General features: G+C 40.2%; 1 protein-coding gene and 1 long non-coding RNA gene across 14 annotated transcripts in view, besides 1 other annotated feature; one reads left to right on the top strand and one right to left on the bottom strand.

Annotated features, from left to right (window-relative positions):
• Positions 1–11402, top strand: part of LOC112268150 (uncharacterized) — a 44564-nt gene extending 33162 nt beyond the window's left edge. Inside the window, exon 2 of the long non-coding RNA XR_002957719.2 lies at positions 10128–11402. This is a non-coding gene — a long non-coding RNA (uncharacterized LOC112268150). The remainder of the gene's footprint in view (positions 1–10127) is intronic.
• Positions 8–18859, bottom strand: part of MAPK6 (mitogen-activated protein kinase 6) — a 95551-nt gene continuing 76699 nt past the window's right edge. For 12 of the 13 annotated variants that reach the window (XM_047432852.1, XM_047432853.1, XM_005254537.4 and 9 more), the window contains 4 exons: positions 17246–17390; positions 8586–8750; positions 5883–6084; positions 8–3481 (listed from right to left, as the gene is read on the bottom strand). In XM_047432852.1, the coding sequence (XP_047288808.1) occupies positions 2383–3481; positions 5883–6084; positions 8586–8750; positions 17246–17390 (1611 nt within the window). In that variant the 3' untranslated portion in view covers positions 8–2382. Of the gene's footprint in view, positions 3482–5882; positions 6085–8585; positions 8751–17240; positions 17391–18859 lie in introns of those variants that run through there. The other variant, XM_047432855.1, reaches the window with a different exon arrangement.
• Positions 14125–14325: a silencer, noted in NCBI's record as "peak2339 fragment used in MPRA reporter construct". NCBI's record gives its function as "represses an SCP1 promoter by STARR-seq MPRAs in K562 erythroleukemia cells {active_cell/tissue: K562}" and the evidence as "EXISTENCE:reporter gene assay evidence [ECO:0000049][PMID:32103011]".

The raw sequence follows: 18859 nt of genomic DNA, 5'->3' as shown, positions 1-18859 counted from the left end.
GACAAAGTAATTGGCACATAAAATTTTTATTGGAAATTGACTTTACAACTTAGTACTCAGCCTGGGTCACCCTAAAGCAAGCATATTTTATATAAGGGGTTTCAGTTTTACTTTCTTCTTCCTTTGATGACTATGTTTGGACTTTTTAATGCCAACAAGTCAGATCATTGTGTAGATGGCCACTAAACTGCCAAGGTGACAGTTTAACGAATGTGGATTAAGTCCAGGAGCCAAGTTTCCCAGTAAGAAAAATCCTAGGTCTCCTTCAGGGAAGACAGCATTTTAGAGTCAAAGCTAATTATTCTCAAAATCAACATACGTTTGCAAAAAATTGGTTATAATGGAGGATCAGGGACCAATGTCTGCTGCCCGTTGCTTCCTTTACATCCTGTCTGATGCTCTCATGACACTCAAAGCCTCTGCACTTGTCACCCCACCCAGCTCCAACTAAAAGTGTCCCATTTTTTTTTTCCCCACAAATCAATTCTCATGACTGCACTTCAGAGCTTGTCCTCTTAAGGTAATTTGAGTATGTTTAAATTAATAACGTGACAGTATTCAACCAGAAAATAAATAAATGAATATATATACACACACACACACACACACACACACACACGTGTATATATATGGCTTTGTGAATCCAGATGAAGTCAGTTGTTGAGAAGGTAGGTGGGCAGATATTAATAGAATTGGTGTTGTACAAAACAAGGATGAAAGAAAAGTGAGGTGAAGAGGATGGAGTTGTTGAGAAGGTAGGTGGGCAGATATTAATAGAATTGGTGTTGTACAAAACAAGGATGAAAGAAAAGTGAGGTGAAGAGGATGGTTTTGTAGCTGGATAGGTAAAAGGGTAAGTTCTTACGCAAAGATGTATTACAGAGCAAATCTCAAGTTTTCTGACTGCACAGTTCAAAGTTTCAACTACACATTTTACCTAACAGTTTTGAAATATTATAAAGCTTTATTCCATTCTAATATGTGATGGTTTAAGTCAAAAGACTTGAACCTTCTCAGCCTTTCAGACTAGCAATTTATGGCCATAATTCAAAGTGATTCTGGTAGTAATTTTCATTCTAGCAGAAAATTTTCATTAACCCAAGAGTGAAACAGGAGCTGTATTTGCTGGCCATGTTTTATTTGTCCTTTTTCTTCAAACAGGATAACCAAAGATACAGACAGTATTCAATAAAATAAAATAGATGAAACAAATTCTAAGAGACTGCGATGCCACATGCTACGTTTAACCTAATTTTATTCATGCTTGCCTTGGGATGGGGAATAGATCATTCAGTAAAAACATACAGTAAAAACAAAATGTCTTATCATGTACAACTTTCAAACTACAATAATGATGTACCTTAATTACTTCCATGCACACAAGTCTAACATTTGTTTTTTTAAAAAATAAACACAATTAAGACTTCTAGGAGCATTTTATAATAAAGTAATTCCTAATTAATTTTTCTTTGTAGATAGATCAAGCACCTCCAAAATACAAATTCCTATACACAGTGAGCACGTTACTTAAAATGAACACTTAAGTAAATTAAGTACGTGGACAGCCTTAGGATAAGCTGACATTATAGATGCAGCTAGGTAGGCAACAAACCATAGTGCCAAATGGAAAAAGTAAAGTATATTTGCAAATAAATTTTAAAAACTAAGTTAATTTTTTATAATTAAATACAGAAAATATACTGATTTGCTAAAATAAATAAGATGTGATGTATTAACACTTCACTATAAAGAATGCATACCAGAACATTTATAAACAGTGAGTGAGTTTTATTAAGAATAGTTTACTACAATAAACGCTGGCTAAATAGAAGTGCATTTTGTGAAGCACTATGGGTGGTATATGTTTTGCCACATACTCTTGTTACCTTGAGGTAGATAACACATGTGTACCAAATTCGGCATTCATTTTCAGTTGCTGCTGGTATCATGTGTTTTAAGAAATGTGTACAGTATGAAAAACTTGAAAATATTCATGAATGAAAAATGTCTTAGGAAAAAAATAGCTATTTTCATGCAATTATGTACAGTCTCACTGTGTAAATTTCAAGGCAAGGTTTGTTTCCTGTAAAACAGATCAATGTTCTATGAGAGAATGTTCTTGTCTTAGTGCATTTCTTTTCTCCTCCTGCGTTGCATTATTTTGCTCTAGTCTTTATTTTTGTGTGCAAATGACATGCCAGTTAAAATGAAAACTATCTCACATGTAGAAAAAGAAAGTCTGGATTTTAAAAAACAAGAACTCATAAAATCCTTACTAAATGACACCATCTGATTCAAGTAAAAAATGACTTAAACACTAGTAATAAAAAAAGACAAAACACATTTCATGAAGAATACAAAGATAAATGTCTGCTGAGTGTTTTAGTTCAGATGTTTCAGAATGCTGCTGTATGTTTGATGAGGAATTTGAGGGGAAGATTTCATAGCAGAAGGTGTTAATGTGGCCTGTATTGACTTAAGTGGTGACCCAACTGGACTGTGAAACTGTGGGATGCCTATGGACTCGAGCTGCTTGTTAAAGAGGAACTCCCCACTGTTGTTCAGAAATCCTTCCTCATGTCCTCTCTCCCCAAGCTTCCCATCCTCTACTGGCTCAGTTTCTAGCATTTCAGTATCTTCTTTCCTGCTAAAGAACTTGTCCAAGTAACTAGTGTAAGTGTTTTCCTTCTCAACTTGTTCATCCTTCCTTACCTCACAAAACTGATTTATGAAAAAACAGTCCTCCCCACCACTCACAAACTGGCTGTCCCAAGAAGACTGGTACAAGGCTTCTAATTGAGCCAGATTTGCCATTCCTTTTTCCTGTTTTTCTTGGCTTACTGACTTTGATATCAAACTTTTCAATTCTAGTTGGGACACTGAGCTATTCAAGTCATTTAATTTATCAACAACATCAGTAGGCTCATGCTGGGAACTAAGCTGAATAGTTCCTGCAATAAAGGAATCAAAATCAAATCCCTGATTCTTTTCCCTTTCTTTTCCAGCCAGTTGCTGTGATGCTTCCTCTAGCGCTATCTGGGCTTTAACCAATCCATTCCTTTCACATTTTGATTTGCCTTTCTTATCAGATTTTTCTTTGCTTTGTTCTTTCCAATTGGAAAGATCTATAATAAGCTTGGGTTCATAGTAATGGTTAACTTCACTCTCTCTCCAAACTAAGTTATCTAAATATGATGATGACCTCGTTTTGTAGTTACAAGTATGGCTACACTCCAGATCACAATATTTGTTTTCATGATGATCTGAGTATTGCCAACAAGGCTCAGTAGAGTAATTGGTATCAAAAGCAGGATCCTCCAGATACTTTTCCCGATCTCCATCCAAATATTTTCGGGGATCAACTTGTACTTCTTCTTCATCAGTGACATCGGACAGAGCTCTTGGATCAAGCTGAACTTCATCAATATCAAAGTTGTTATGTACAGGCCAATCATGCTCTGAAAACTGACAATCATGATACCTGAAAAAAATCAATACACTAGCGTTATTCTACGTATATGATTTCATTTTCAAATTCACCGAGTACCTTCTATGTGACAGCACTGTGCTAGGTCTATGAGGGGATAATTATAGGAGAGTAAATATGCCTGCCTTGCCCTACCAGAACTTAGTCTTGATAGGAAAGCTCTGTTAATATATTTGGTAATTGCCAATGCAGTATGTAACTTCATTTCCAATTTGTTTTTTGTCCACCAGTTCCATGCAAACAAAAGACTTCATAGCCACAAAATGCAGATCTCAAATCTCAATCAGGTACCTTACAAATGTTTACTCTACAGTAAGGGCAACTAGAAGAGGAGGAGGTTTGCTAAATGTTTACTCTACAGTAAGGGCAACTAGAAGAGGAGGAGGTTTGCTGGAAAACTCATCACCATGAATAGCAAAAATCTCCCTGTGTATACGTGCTGCTGAATGCGCTATCCTATTACTGACATGTATAATCATTGAGGGAAAAGAAAAGAGATTAGATAACTTAGCTAGGTAAAATAGAAAATGCAGGTCAGGTGCAGTGGCTCAGGCCTGCAATGCTAGCACTTCAAGAAGGCCAAGGTGGATGGATCACTTGAGGTCAGGAGTTTGAAACCAGCCTGGCCAACATGGTGAAACCCCCACTACTAAAAATACAAAAATTAGCTGAACATGGTGGCGGGTGCCTATAGTCCCAGCTAGTAGGGAGGCTGAGGCAGGAGAACTGCTTGAACTCAGGAGGTTGCAGTGAGCAGAGAGATGGGCACCATTGCACTCCAGCCTGGCAACAGAGTGAGACTCCGTCTCAAAAAAGAAAAGAACCATTATTTAGGGGGTAGAAATGGACACATGGAGAAAAAAAGTAGTTTGCAGATTTGTGTAAACATACCATACCAATACATCAACATTTGAGGAGGGGGAAAAAAATTTCTTCTTAAAATCTTAAGATTAAAAAGATTGGCATTAGTGGTTCCCAAACTTGGCCATACATCAAAATCACCTGATGACTCTATAAGCTACCATCCTACTCTGAAGCATCAAAATCACCTGATGACTCTATAAGCTACCATCCTACTCTGAAGCAGAATTATATCTAAACTTCCCCAGAAATGTATTTATTTATTTATTTGAAACGGAGTCTTGCTCTGTCGCCCAGGCTGGAGTGCAGTGGTGCAATCTCGGCTCACTGCAACTGCTGCCTCCCAGGTTCAAGTGATTCTCCTGCCTCAGCCTCCTGAGTAGCTGGGACTACAAGAGCCCGCCATCAAGCCTGGCTTATGTTTGTATTTTTAGTAGAGACCGGGTTTCACCACGTTAGCCAGGCTGGTCTCGAACTCCTGACCACAGGTAATTGGCCTGCCTCAGCCTCGCAAAGTGCTGGGATTACAGGCATGAGCCACCGCGCCCAGCCAAACTTTCCTAGAAATCCAATTATTTCACTTTATGAAACATCAAAATATGGATAACATTATACACTAATGTTTAGACCTAAAAAAGTCTCTTTTACTGAACCTATGTTAAGTGTCCCCAAATTAATTGTGTCATTAGGAAAACAGATTCAAATACTGGCTGAGTACGGTGGTTCACGCCTATAATTTCAGCACTGTGGGAGGCCAAGGCAGGCAGATCACCTGAGGTCAGGAGTTCGAGACCAGCCTGGCCAACATAAAATCCCACCTCTACTAAAAATTAGCTGGGTACCTGTAATCCCAGCTACTCGGGAGGCTGAGGCAGGACAGTGAGCTGAGCTTGCATCACTGCACTCCAGCCTGCACTCTAGCCTGGGTGACAGAGTGAGATTCCATCTCAAAAAAAAAAAAAAAAAATCCTGCATCTAATATGAATCAAATACTTTTTATGTTAAGATATAACTACCACTGAGACACTGGAGATACTTTATTGGATATGACTGAGTCTTGTCATCTAACATCTTAAATTTTTGACATTCATAAAATCACAGTTAAAGGACTTTATAAATATGCCTTAATGACTTTGAAAATGTTTCAAAGTAGCATTTAACTTTTCCCATATATCATCTAACCAGTAATTACTTTATTAAATGTTTTAATTAACGGCTATTTATAGATATAAATATTAAGGACCATTACTAAATTTTTCTTTGAGATGGAGTCTTGCTCTATTGCCCAGACTGGAATGCAGTGGCATAATCTCGGCAGCCTCGGCCACTTGGGTTCAAGTGATTTTCCTGCCTCAGCCTCCAAGTAGCTAGGACTACAGGCGCCTGCCACCACACCTGACTAATTTTTGTATCTTTACATTACTAAATTTTTAAGACTTCTACAATGTCTTATACATAATTTTAAAAAAACTCACTACATATGGTCCACTGAAAGTTCAGTAAATATTATTTTTCTAATTTAGGATCAATTTACCTTTCCCAGTTATAAATGTGACTGTGAGTTTCATCCATAAGCAAAATATCATCAACTTCATCTTCAATATGAAAAGGATGGCTTGAAATTGGCTCATCCATTGGAAAAGAATATATGCTCATGTAAGGATGGGAGAGTGCTTCTTCTGCTGTTAACCGATCCATGGGGCTAAATGTCAAAATTTGTTCCAGGAAATCCAGTGCTGCAGAGGAAAAGGTAAAAGTTTTTCAGAAAAGAATTGCTTACCTTTAGAAAAACAGTAAATGTTGATCTCATTTATTTCAATGACTAGCTAAGTGATTACCTTAGCACTACATACTACACAACAGGAAATGAGCATCTTAATTGTACTAATAGGTCCCCATCTTATAAAAGGGAAAAATGGACTACACAATTAAAAAGTTAATTTGTCAGAAATAAAACTTACCTGATTTACAACTTAAAAACGATTTTCTGGCTGAGTGTGGTGGCTCACGCCTGTAATCCCGGCCTAATATATAGGTTTTAATCCTAGCTCTGCAAGTCACTGGCTTAACTCAATTACTAGCACTGTAGTGCTGGATAGGCTACTAAAACTTGATGAACATCAGTTTCTTCATGCATAAAGTAGACATAGATATTTCATAAGGTACAAAAATGAGATGTAATCATAGTGTCTGGTATGTAATAAAAGCCCTTTCCCATCCTTCACTGATGGGAAGTACAACAGTAAAACATCTCTGTTGTACTAATTTCTTGATCTCTGCTTCACATCACACTCCAGCATAGTTCACACACTGACCTTGCACATCTTAGGACTCTGGTTAACCACAAATCCAGTTCTTCCCATAAAATAGTCTAGTAGGCCTTCCTTAGTTCCTCACGCAGCCTGAAAGCTATATTTACACCAGCCACACACTTCTATGCCTTATGATATCAACCTTCAACCCTGGATCACCACCACCATCTACTCTCTCTGCTCCCTGGCCACACAAAACTGATGAAAACTAGCTGCAATATCCCATATCTGGCTCATTACAAATTCATACTAAACAATTTCATTGTGACCTTTGCTATCTGGCCTTCTCTTTATGCTCTCGGTCTTCTTTATCATTCTCAACAGATAAACCCACTTCACATTTGTCTCAATCCCTACCTCTTCACTATGGTCACTCACACATCCTCTTATCCTTGCCTTCTAAGTGAGAAAGATGGCCTTTCTCTCTCAAGCCAACCTGTACTCTAGAAAGAACCCTTTTCTTTTCTTTAGAAAGATAATTTTAAGACACAGCATCTTTGCGGTTGCCCAGGCTGGAGTGCAATAGCATGATCATAGCTCATTGTAGCCTTGAACTCCTGGGCTCAAGGAATCTTCCTGCCTCAGCCTCCTGAACAGCTAGGACTACAGGAATGCTACAATGGTGCTGAACCATGCTTAGAGAAATATATGGTATACTACAGAAAGGATGAGAGGTAAGTATAGAGGGAAATTAACCAGAGTAGGGCTCCTAGGAGTCTTATACGTTCACTCAGATGTACTTAATCCTGTTTGCTTTTTTCCTTCAAAGATCATAAAGAATGTGGGGTGAGAACATGTATTCTTTTTACCAAGTTGCCACTGCCTCAGAATGTGCTCTGTCCCAAAATAAAACTCCACTGTTAAGAAGAAAGTAGTATGGAGCATACAATTGATAAATCTTTAGTCTCAGAAACTCCATCCACTCTGCATTCACTTGCTTGCAAGCACAGTGCTGCCACATGTGACCACCAAGGATCTTTGCTCAATGGTTAATAAACCCCAGTCAGTGGCCAAATATTCAGTTTAATTCAAAGATTAAAACATGGTCCCCACCCTAATGAGGGTACGAAAAAGATTCAAATAGCATTATACAGCAAGGTTACAAATGCTTCAACAGCACCGTCCTCTTGATTAGTGACAACTACTCTGAAGTGGATCCAGGTTATCACTGCACACAGTGTCTTCACCTGGCTGAGCAGAGTCACACCTTAGAGAGGGTATGCAGACACCCACCCTGTTCCCCACTCCACCTCCCAATTCAGAATTACTAGTTCAGCATTTTAAAAGTGCTCCTTGGCCAGGTGTGGTGGCTTACACCTGTAATACTACCACTGTGGGAGGCTGAGGCAGAAAGGCTGCTTGAGCTCAGGAGTTCAAGACCAGCCCAGGGAAGACTCTGTCTCTATTTTTCAATAAAAAATAAAAATAAAGTGTTCCCACAGAGGACTCATTTAGATATGAACAGGGATGTTGTGACAGTGGCTACAGGGTTACGAGCAAGGGAGCTAGCAATGGAATTTGTGCAGACAGACTCAAAGACTGATTAAGAATGTGGAACTACTGAAAAGCCTGCAAAACCGGCTGAAATTAAATACAGCAGCTTTCTTTTTATCCAGGCATTTACAGGAGTTCCAAGTATATCTGAGGGAAAAAATGCCATCATGATTTTGTCCCCAGTGCCTATATTCAAAATACTTGCTACTTGCTCTGGAAAGTGATTCAGAGGAACCAAAAAAACAGATCGTAGCCCAAGTAACAGGACAAAAAAAGGGAAAATGAGAGTTGAAGTTTTACGTACACCTTAAGTGTCTAAAGACTATTTTGGAGAAAGCCCCATATCTAAGGATAAAAAGCTCCAGCTTCCCTACACAGATTCTGCCTCACACACAGGCATTAACGTGAGGGTTACTCTCGAGTCACAATACCTTCTCGACTAATTCCTGGAAGCAGCTGAGTTAAAGGTTTGTGTGGCTCAGTCATGTCATTTCTAATGTAAACTGGAATTACGCTGAGAAGCTCCTGACGATCTTCCTCATGTACAACAGGAATAGATTCTAAAATCAGCTGCATCTGTTCAAGTTCATGTGCACCTGAGGTTAAAAAACAAACAAAAAAACACATTCCTCAATGTTTACTTATTTCACAATAAACATACTAAACTAATTTAAATATTATAATGACCAGTGGGGGGAAAAGTTTGAATTGTATCATCAGCAGGTTTCATTGCTTTGACTATCACCAATCTACTTATCTATTTCAATTTCTGCTTACTGATGTATTTAGTTTTTGCTGCTTTGTTTCCATAGGGAACTGACTCTTTAAGTTTGGTCTCATATTAAGGTTATCACAAACTAGTGAAAAAAAAAGCAACTGAGATTCAAGAGATCTGGATTCTGGTCTTAACTGTACCACTAATTTACTGGCTATAACTTCAGAGACAATAGCTAACATCTCTTAGGACTTTATTTCAACATCAATGAAATGAAGGGTTGGACTAGACTTGTAAAACAGGAAGTTTTATAGTTCTATGTTAGGGCTCAGTTAGCATTTCTAGGTTGTTAGGCAATGAAAGAAATAAAGGGGGAAACTTTAGGCTAAATAGGTGGTGACTTTTAAAAATTCCATTTGCTGTACTCCAGCATGGATGACAGAGTGAGACCCTGTCTCAAAAACAAAAAATAAAAATTCCACTTGCCTTTCCTTTAATGTCTATAAATTCATTGAACATTCAAAATTCCTTTTAGTTCCTACTATGCGCAGGACACTTGAGAATACAGTTATGAAACAAAACAGACCAAGTGCCTGCCTTCATGGATCTTACAATCTTGTGGATAAAGACAGATAATTCTGTAAAGTAGGTCTTATGGTGACATATGCTATAAAGAAAAAGAGAGTAAGCTAAGGGTGATGGCACTGTTGGGAAGAATAGGGTTGTTAATACTTTTTTAAAGTCAAGAGTTCGAGACCAGCCTGGCCAACATGGTAAAACCCCATCTCTACCAAAAATACAAAAATTAGCCAGGCAAGGCGCATGCCTATAGTTCCAGCTACTTGGGAGGCTGAAGCACAAGAATTGCTTGGACCCTGGAGGAGGAGGTTGCAGTAAGCCAAGATCATGTCACTGCACTCTAGCCTGGGCAACAATAAGACATTTTTTTTTTTTTGAGACAAAGGAAGGCCTCACTAAGAAGTGGAAAATTAAGGAAGTCAGGAATACACCAAACATTCATATGGAAGAAAGAAAGGAGTTCTAGGAAGATGGAGAGAAGCCCAGAAGACAGAGGCAGGTTGGTATGTCAAAGAAACAACAATTAGACAAGTGTAGCAAAAGGAGAGTAGCTTGGGGCAGATAATGGGAGATAAGTCAGAGTGGTACTAGAACAAAGGGTTTGCTTTACCCTGAGTTTGATGGAAAGCCATCATGCAGTTTGAGCAGAGATGACATGATCTACCTTGTCTTTCAACAGGACCACCCTGGCTGCGATGTGGTAACTAAAGACAGCAAATACTGAAGCAGGAAAGAGAAGGTCCTTCTAACAGGAGAGACATAATGGCTGACTGGACCGGGGGAGGGATAGTAAGAGTGACAGTAACAAGCCGTTAAGAGTCTGGATATAGTTTGAAGAAAGAGCCCACAGGATCTGTGCTAACAGAAATGAAGGACAATGACAAGATTTTTGTCTAAGCAACTGAAAAATGGAGGTACTGGTTTGCTAACATGAGTAAAAACAACGTATGAGGAAGAAATATCAGGGGCCCAGTTCTGGGTAGGTTAACTTTGTTATTAGACATCTGAGTGGAGATATTGAGTTAAGGAACCTGGAATTCAGACGAGAGGTCAGGGCTGAAGATATAAATTCAGGAGTCATCATAAATTCAGGAGTCATCATCAGATATAGATAATTCTTAAAGGAATGAAAAAGAATGAGACTACCCAGGGACTAAGTGAAGCTAGAGAAGCAGGGAGCCCAAGGACTGAATCTGGGATACTTCCAACACGAGGAGAAAGAGAACTGGCAAGGGTGACTGGAAAGAGGCCAGGGAAGAATTCAAGAGTGGCGTGCCCAAAGACAGGTGAAAAAGCACCTGAAGAGGTGAAGATCAATTGCAACAAATGCTGGAGATGGCTCAAAATGAGGACTTAGAATTGACAAGGGATTTAGCATTATGGAGATCACTGGTGACCTGTGGAGAGTGGTTTCTGGTGGAGGACAAAGCCTGACTGGACAGGGTGAAAGACAGAATGTAAGCAGAGGAATTAAGAGCAGCAAGGATGCACGCATCTTTTGAGAAGTTTTACATCCAACGAGTACAGTAGTATGTGGCAGTAGCTGAGGGACTGTGGGGTCAGGACAGATTATTTTGTAAGACTGGAAAAATTCTATCAATGTTTGAATGAATACTGATAAAAGTGATCTAGCAGAAGAGGTAAAGTGAAGATGCAAGAGATAGAAGTGCTACAGCAGGAAAGAGGGAAAATATCTACTGCCCAAGTACAAGTGTTAACCTGGGACAGGAACACCTATAGAGAGACAATCTGGACACACAAGAGAAATGCACCAAAAAATAAGACACACAGGCTAAAAACACACTGATTTCCAATGAGTGCTTGGTCCTTACCTTTTGTTGCTCTGTTCATTTGCAACTTATACCTAATTAATAACCACTCAGATTTCCCTTCGTGTTTTTATTGAATGGGTCACTGACAAAAATCAATAAAGCACCTGGCAACTAGAAACAAACTACAATCTAGATCTTTCCAATCATTTCATTGCAAACTATTCCTATTAAATGTAAAACTATGCTACTTAAGAGTTTTAAAACAAATCCAATTATTTTTATTCCTATATTTAATGTCCGAATGTGCATTGAACATTTAAAAACAAACATTTAAAAATACACAAATACAGCCGAGAGCAGTGGCTCACACCTGTAATCCCAGCACTTTGGAAGGCTGAGGCAGGTAATGACCTGAGGTCAGGAGTTCAACACCAACCTGACCAATATGGTGAAATCCTGTCTCTACTAAAATTTCAAAAATTAGCCGGGCATGGAGGCATGCACCTATAGTCCCAGCTACTCGGGAGGCTGAGGCAGGAGAATCGCTTGAACCCGGGAGGAGGAGGTTTCAGTTAGCTGAGCTCATGCAACTGCACTCCAGCCTAGGCGACAGAGCGAGACTCCTCCAAAACAAACAAACAAACAAAAAAACCCTTTGTATAATCCATGCAGCAGCAGTAGGTACTGACTCACTTCTATGACTTGGAGCATGACCAAATGATTTTTCATTATATAGACTTAAATTTGTTTTTGTTCTAAGACAAAGTCTTGCTCTGTTGCTCAGGCTGGAGTAAGTGGCATGATCACAGCTCACTGTAGCCTTGACCTGCCGGGCTCAAGCAATCCTCCCACCTGAGCCCCTTGAATAGCTGGGACCACAGGTGTGTGCCACCACACCCAGCTACATTTTTGTTTTTTGTCGAGACAGGGTCTCACTATGCTGCCCAGGCTGGTCTCTAACTCCTGGGCTCAAGTGATCCTCTGGTCTCAGCCTCCAAAAGTGCTGGGATTACATGTATTAGCCACCACACCTGGCTTGTTTTTCTGACTCGTTACTGTGGTGGCTTTAAAATGTGTCCACTTGGCCGGACACGGTGGCTCTTGCCTGTAATCCCAGCACTGTGGGAGGCCAAGGCACACAGATCACCTGAGGTCAGGAATTTGAGACCGGCCTGGCCAAAAGGGTGAAACTACTAAAAATACAAAAGTTAGCTGGGTGTGGTGGCAGATGCCTGTAATCCCAGCTACTTGAGAGGCTGAGGCAGGAGAGTCGCTTGAACCTGGGAGGCGGAGGTTGCAGTGAGCCAAGATCGCACCATTGTACGATTGTTGGCTAGGCAACAAGAGGAAGACTCAGTCTCGGAAAAAAAAAATTATATATATATGTATGTGTGTATCTATGTATGTGTATATGTGTGTGTGTGTGTGTGTGTATAGATATATGTATGTACACTTTACCCTTGTTCATTCGAGAAGGTAAAAAATGAAAAAAAAAGGTCCAAAAATTCTTTTGATACTCCTCCCTTTAAAGGGTGGAACTGAACTCCGCTCCCATTGACCATGAAGCGTACTTAGTGACTCACTTCTAACACATAAAGCTAAAGTTGACAGTATGTAACTTTTGAGACTTGGTCACAAAAAGATATTTTACATGTGTGGTCAACTGATTCTTTATGAAAGTGTCAAGATAATTCAGTGGGGAAAGAATCTTTTCAACAAATGGTGCCAGGACAAGAGGATGTCCACATGCAAAAGAATGTGTAAAAGTTAATCCCTTCCCGTCCCACCCACCCCCAATACAGAGTCTCGCTCTGTTGGCCAGGCTGGAGTGCAGTGGCAAGATCTCGGCTCACTGCAACCTCCACCTCCCAGGTTCAAGCAATTCTCCTGCCTCAGCCTCCCGAGTAGCTGGGATTGTAGGTGCGCGCCACCATGCCCAGCTAATTTTTGTATTTTTAGTAGAGACAGGGTTTCACCATGTTGGCCAGGCTGTTCTCAAACTCCTGATCTCAGGTGATCCACTTGCCTCCGCATCCCAAAGCGCTGGGATTACAGGTGTGAGCCACCGCGCCCAGCTGTATAAGAATCCTATAAAACTCTCAGAAGACAACACAGGAGAAAACATCCATGACCTTGGGTCAGGCAATTATTCCTCAGACATGACACCAAAAACAAAAGAGACAAAAGAAAAAGGTAACTGGACTTCAGAATTAAAATCTTGTTTCAGGCCTGGCATAGTGGCTCACACCTGTAATCCCAGCACTTTGGGAGGCTGAGGCGAGTGGATCATGAGGTCAGGAGTTCGAGATCAGCCTGACCAACGTGGTGAACCCCGTCTCTACTAAAAATACAAAAATCAGCTGGGCATAGTGGTATGTGCCTGTAATCCCAGCTACTCAGGAGGCTGAGGGAGGAGAATTGCTTGAACCCAGGAGGGAGAGACTGCAGTGAGCCGAGATCATGCCACTGTACTCCAGCCCAGGCAAGAGAGCAAGACTCTGTCTTAAAAAATCAATCAATCAATCAATCAATCAACCAATCAATCAATCAATCAATCAACCAATCAATCAATCTTGTTTCAAAAGACACTATAAAGAAAGGGAAAAAAAACTGCAGAATAGGAGAAAATACATGTAAATCACAAAATATTTGTATTCAGAATTATGTAAAGAATTCTTACAACTCAATAATAAAAAGACAACCCAATTTAAAAAATGGGCAATAGATCTGGACAGACATTCAATCATCCATTAGTTATTAGGGAAATGCAAATCAAAACCACAATGAGGCCGGGTGCAATGGCTCCCACCTGTAATCCTTGCACTTTGGGAGGCCAAGGCGGGCAGATCACTTCAGGTTAGGAGTTCGAGACCAGCCTGGCCAACATGGTGAAACCCCGTCTCTACTAAAAACACAAAAATTAGCTGGGCGTGGTGGCACAAGCCTTTGTAATCCCAGCTACTCGGGAGGCTGAGAGCAGGAGAACTGTTTGAACCTGGGTGGCAGTGGTTGCAGTGAGCCAAGATCACACCACTGCATTCCAGCCTGGATGACAAAGCAAGACTCTGTCTCAAAAAAAAAAAAAAAAAAAACCACAATGAGATACTACTTCATACCCGATAGGATGGCTATACTCAAAAAGACAAAATTTAACTCTCATGCATTGGTGGTGGGAATGTAAAATGGTACAGCTGCGCTGGGAAACTGTTCTTCAAAAAGTTAAACAGTTACCACACAGCTCAGCAATTCCACTCCTAGGTATATATACCCAAGAGAACTGAAAACATATTTTCACACAAAAACTTGTACGCAAATATTTACAACAGCATAATTCATAACCAAGAAGTGGAAACCCAAATGTCCATCAACTGAGGAATGGATAAACAGCATGTGGTATATCCATATAGCAGAATACTATTTGCCCGTAAAAAGGAAAAAAGTACTAACATATGCCACAACATGGGTAAACCTCCAAAATATTGCTACATGAAAGAAGCCTGTCACAAAGTCCAAATGTTATCTGAAACAACCAGAGTAGGCAAATCCATAGAGACATAAAGTAGATTAGTGGATGCCAGGGGCTGGGGGAAAGAGGAAATGAGAAGTGACTGCTAATGGTTTGCAGGATCTTTCAGGAGCCAAGACAGTGTTCCAAAATTAGATTGTGGTAATGGTTACACAACTCTGTAAATATACTAAAAAATATGGAACTATATTATTTAAATAAATTGTATGATATGTGAATTATATAACAATACAACTTTTTAAAGAAAGATATACTGGCTTTCTCCTTGCTGTCTTTTGGATCACTGGTTCTAGAGGAAGCCAGCCACCATATTATGAAGACACTCAAGCAGTCCTATGGAGAAGCCCACATGGTGAGGAACCGAAGCCTCTTGGTAACTGTCATGTAAGTAAGCTATCTAGAAGTGGATCCTCCTGCCTTGGTCAAGACTTCAGGGTAACTGCTGCCCTTACCAACATCTTGACTGAGAAAACATAAGCTAGAACCACCCAGCTAAACCACTCCCATATTTTGACACACAGAAACTGTAAAACGTTAATAAATGTTTGTTGTTTAAGCTACTAAGTTTTGGAGTAATTTGTCACACCGCAACAAACAGAATTGTTTATATATGCTGGAAGGCACTTGATATCAGGAACATAACCTCTAATCACAGTATTGTTCCTAAGCAAAAATCAATCCATTTAATAATTTAGTTTCCAGGAATCCCTCCGAATTCCAATTTAGAAAACTATCATACATCTTAGAAATTTTTTTTTTTTTTTTTTGAGACAGAGTCTCTGTCGCCCAGGCTGGAGTGCAATGGCGCGATCCCAGCTCACTGCAACCTCTGCCTCCCAGGTTCAAGCGATTATCGTGCCTCAGCCTCCCCAGTAGCTGGGATTACAGGCGTGCGCCACCATGCCCAGCTAATTTTTGTATTTTTAGTAGAGACAGGGTTTCACCATGTTGGCAAGCCTGGTCTCAAACTCCTGACCTCAAGTGATCTGCCCGCTGCAGCCTCCCAAAGTGCTGGGATTACAGGCGTGAGACACTGAGCCCAGACAGAAATTTTAGATAAATATTAGAAAAAAATTATAAAGAGCTGGCTTGCTGTTATATAAACTAAGTACTGGCATTAACATACTTAAAAGACATTTATGCACGCTGTCCTTTCTTCACCAGTGCTCTCCTATGTACACTAATCTTTCTTATGTAAATAGACTCTGGCCTATTCCTTTCCTTCTGCTCTTAGCACCGTCTGGGGGTTGGGGGGAACCACTCTAAAAATGGGTATGGAGGGCCTGGTGGGGTGGCTCACGCCTGTAATCCCAGTACTTTGGGAGGCCGAGGCGGGTGGATCACGAGGTCAGGAGATCGAGACCATCCTGGCTAACATGGTAAAACCCTATCTCCACTAAAAATACAAAAAATTAGCCGGGCGACGGGGCGGGCGCCTGTAGTCCCAGCTACTCGGGAGGCTGAGGCAGGAGAATGGTGTGAACCTGGGAGGCGGAGCTTGCAGTGAGCAGAAATCGCACCACTGCACTCCAGCCTGGGTGACAGAGCAAGACTCCGTCTCAGAAAAAAAAAATGGGTATAGAGGGGGAAAAAGTTATGTCAAAAGACAGAAAAAGGCCTTAATCACTATCACACCACTTCCCCAACTAAAAAATCTTCAGTACCCCTACTATTCCTTACTTTTCCATATGGAAAGTCCTCTGCCTACTTTCTAAATACTTTCTAGTATTCCGACCCCATCTTAACTAGTCATAAATATGTTTATTATTATTTGACAACTTGCACAAATCTCAGATTCATGAATGCACCAGGCTTATACTCTTATTTATATGGGTACCCTTAAATAACACATTTTCTCTCTTCCCCAATTAAAATTCTTCGCTACTTCTAAATAGTGAAAAATCTGTTTGACTCCATAATGCCTTCCATTCCAGCAATCACTGATGCATAGCTTCTCTAAGTTTACAGCTCTAGTCTATACTAAATAATTTTATACAGACCTATGCTTTGCTTTATGACACAAGACATTTTTCATGGATTACTCATCTCATCTTGACAAAGTCCTCTCTCACACACTTCTTTAGACTTCTAAATAGCACCAAACTTAACAAAAAATTACTTGTTTGGTTGTTTATAGGGGGAGGGGACCAAGAAAAATTTGTTGGATTTTCAACAATGGCTTAAAATTTTCACCAGGAAGTGATGATACTGACAGAATTATGCAACTTAAGTATCAACACAAATTACCAACAAGTATTATGGGTCCACAAAATATGAAATTATATTTAAACAGGAGTTCTGATAATTTATGAAGTGACCAATTTAGTGAATATGTGAATAAGTTTTCTCAATTTTTTTATTAAAAACGCCAATTTATCTGTTCATTTTAGTATTACAGATCATAACAAATTATTTTAAATCTTATATGAATCTTGCTTCAGAGATAAAATGCAAAATTACTTCTCTTTGGGAAAATTTTTCCCCCCACAAAATACTAACCTGCAAAAAGGGTTTTACCAGTCAGCATTTCAGCAAAGATGCAGCCTGCAGCCCACATGTCAATGGCTTTAGTATAATTATTAGGAGAAAGTAAAAGACGTGGAGATCTGTACCATTTAGTAACCAATCCTTCAGAAAGATGACCCTATAAAAGAAACAAAAAACATACTTTTTTTACTTTAGCTGAAGAACAGTACTTACAACTTGATTAAAGAATCCTTAATTTGCCAGGCGTGGTGGCTCATGCCTGTAATCCCAGCATTTTGGGAAACCAAGGTGGGCGGATCACCCAAGGTCGGGAGTTCGAGACCAGTCTGACCAACCGGAGAAACCCCATCTCTACTAAAAATACAAAATTAGCCAGGTGTGGTGGTGCATGCCTGTAAACCCAGCTACTTGGGAGGCTGAGCCAGGAGAATCGCTCGAACCCGGGAGGTAGAGGTTGCGGTGAGCCGAGATTGTGCCACTGCACTCCGCCCTGGGCAACAAGAGCTAAACTCCATCTCAAAAAAAAAAAAAAAAAAATCCTAATCTTTAACCCCAGCACTTTGGGAGGCCGAGGTAGGTGGATCACTTGAGGTCAGGAATTTGAGACCAGCCTGGGCAACATGGTAAAACTCTGCCTCTACTAAAAATACAAGAATTAGCCTGGCATGGTGGCACACGCCTGTAGTCCCAGTTACTTGGGAGGCTGAGGTGGGAGGATCACTTAAGCGCAGGAGACAGAGGTTGCAGTGAGCAAAGAGCAAGACCCTGTCTTTAAAAAAAAAAAAAAAAAAAAAAAAATTATATAACTCTAGGCCACACATTCAAAGCATTTTTCAGAAGACGAGCTGGTTTACACTCAGTCTTGAGATAATCAAAGAGCAAGTATGCTTCAAGTCAGAACAGTAGGGAAGAGCACCAGAGGTGCTACTTATAAACCAATGTCTACCTCCTTAATGACCTCTACTATAAATCCTATTCATCACCTATTCAACTACTTTACAATTACAAAGCACCTTACAAAACCTTACACATATATTGCCTTATTTCATCCTCAAAACTACCCTGAGAGATTGTGATGGTAGATATTAACTCCATTTTATAGGTGTGATGACTGAGAGAGTGAGATCTGCTTCAAGTCATATAGCTAGTTGGATGTAGAAATGGAGTCAATTTTATATAGTATAAGTCTTATTAGTTCAGTGCTCTATCCACAATACTTCACTGTGGATACAGTGCTCTACCCACAATATTTCACTGTGGACGTCGTCAGTGTAATACTCATCTCTTTTTCTTTTTCTCTAGGAAAAAAAAGTTGTCTGTGTTGCCCAGGTTGGTCTCAAACTCCTGGCCTCAAGTGATCCTCCTGCCCCGGCCTCCTAAAGTGCTGAGATTACAGGCAGGAGCCACTGCGCAGGTTGGTCTCAAACTCCTGGCCTCAAGTGATCCTCCTGCCCCGGCCTCCTAAAGTGCTGAGATTACAGGCAGGGGCCACCGCGCTTCCAGCCTAGAACTCATTTTCTACAAAATATCTTTTTTGTTTGGAAATGGAGTTTTGCTCCTGTTGCCCAGGCTGGAGTGCATTGGCGCAATCTCAGCTCTTTGCAACCTCCACCTCCTGGATTCTCC

Source organism: Homo sapiens, chromosome 15 (assembly GCF_000001405.40).
Source record: "Homo sapiens chromosome 15, GRCh38.p14 Primary Assembly".
Classification (NCBI taxonomy): domain Eukaryota; kingdom Metazoa; phylum Chordata; class Mammalia; order Primates; family Hominidae; genus Homo; species Homo sapiens.
This window is presented reverse-complemented; position numbering and strand designations above follow the sequence as displayed.